Source organism: Homo sapiens, chromosome 10 (genome assembly GCF_000001405.40).
Source record: "Homo sapiens chromosome 10, GRCh38.p14 Primary Assembly".
In the NCBI taxonomy this organism is placed as follows: domain Eukaryota; kingdom Metazoa; phylum Chordata; class Mammalia; order Primates; family Hominidae; genus Homo; species Homo sapiens.
Genome location: NC_000010.11, coordinates 61642748 through 61644341, shown reverse-complemented (window position 1 = coordinate 61644341; position 1594 = coordinate 61642748). Strand labels below are relative to the sequence as shown.

The following is a 1594-nucleotide window of genomic DNA, read 5'->3' as shown; positions in this document are numbered from 1 at the left end:
CCCACTTATTTGTTTAATTTATTGTTCTCTTTGAAAGCCCTTAGAACCAAAAAAAAAAAAAAAAATGTTTTCAAAGGCTTGAAAACAAATGAGTAAACACATGTTCTACTTATCATTTGTCAGACTGAACAAAGCTCTTTGGATGTGCTCAACAGCTTTTGGAGGAAGACAAACACTATCAGTGAAATAAATGAACAATTTCATTGGGATCAGAAAGTTTCAACAGAAGCTATTAATTTTTATGAGCATTAAGTCTGACAAAAATCTATGTATCTGTAGGCTCCCCCCACCATATTAACATCAAGAATAAAGAATCAGGCAATTCAGATGAAAATTGTAGCATATGGTAGGGTCTTTACAATGGTGGGAAGATAGGCCAAAAATTATGTTTGTAAATTTCTGAAATGATTTCCAGAAACGCATTACAGGCTAAGTGCTTTATACAGTATGTATTGTTAGCAGGTGTTGTGAGCACTTTATTTCTTACACACAATGCTGACATTTTACTCCTTTATACTCTTTAAGGGAACAAGCAGCATAATTGGAATTCCTTTGAGAATGATTTGTTAGTTATTTTGGACCTTTACAGGGAGTAAATGGTAAATAAAAGCTGAGTTTTTGGACATTAGTATCTATTGGTTGAGCAGATTATACTGTAAATTTTAAAAAGGAAGGGCAATTTAGGCAATGATACTAACAGCTGCACGGTTATTGTGTAATAGTGGCCCACCTGGGCTGAATTGTGAATTGCAAAACAAAGCTGAATGCTTTCAATTCCATGATGTATTATGCTACAAGGGAAGCTCTCAGCTAAGCAAAATGTAGAGCTACTGTCAGACCATTCCTCTGCCAAATTACTACTGCACTGAAAAATGACTACAGTGATATCACTTGGTGAGATCATCACAGTCTACTTCTCTTAATGTTTCCATCATTTCTGATCCCAATTTTACATCTCAGTAATTTACTTTCAGTAATGAAGTGTTTTCTCCTCCTTCACTTTAGTAGAGCATATACTACATTAAAAAAAAAAACTTATTCAGTTCTTTGAGAATGAAAACACATGCAGTTTCCTCCCTCCATCATGAGCAGTGTAATAAGTGAACAATATCTAGGTAATGAGTTACTTGTTATGATTTATATGTGTAATGTGCAATTATTTTAAACATAGAGGAATGTTCTTATAAGTGGGTTAAACGCAGTGAACATAAGCCTTCTTGTACTTAAGTATTTACTACCTAATGATGTGACTGATTAGCTTTGTTCAAGTTTACTTACAAGGAAAAAGAAAAAAAGATTCCTACATCTCCATCAAGATTGTAACTTTGCATTTCTCTAATTTTCCTCCATACTCTATATTGTTGAAGAGAGTAATGGAGGCTTTTCGAAACATGAATTCGTAGAAAAGGAAGGAGTTGAGACATAGGGAAACCATGTGGTCTTGCTGTGAATCATTACAGATATGAGCCAAAGAAAAGTTGGGCATGATATCAAGCATTGTTTTCTTTCCAGGTTTTGCTAAATCTGGCCAAGTTTTACAAACACTTCAGGGGAAGTTCAGAGTTATGCTTTTTATTCCTAGATCTTTCATATG

At 34.2% G+C, this 1594-nt stretch overlaps 1 annotated feature.

The window, feature by feature from the left end:
* Nucleotides 403–1021: an enhancer, noted in NCBI's record as "NANOG hESC enhancer chr10:63403079-63403697 (GRCh37/hg19 assembly coordinates)". NCBI's record gives its function as "activates a minimal SCP1, AML or CMV promoter by ChIP-STARR-seq in primed H9 embryonic stem cells {active_cell/tissue: H9 hESC(primed)}" and the evidence as "EXISTENCE:reporter gene assay evidence [ECO:0000049][PMID:30033119]".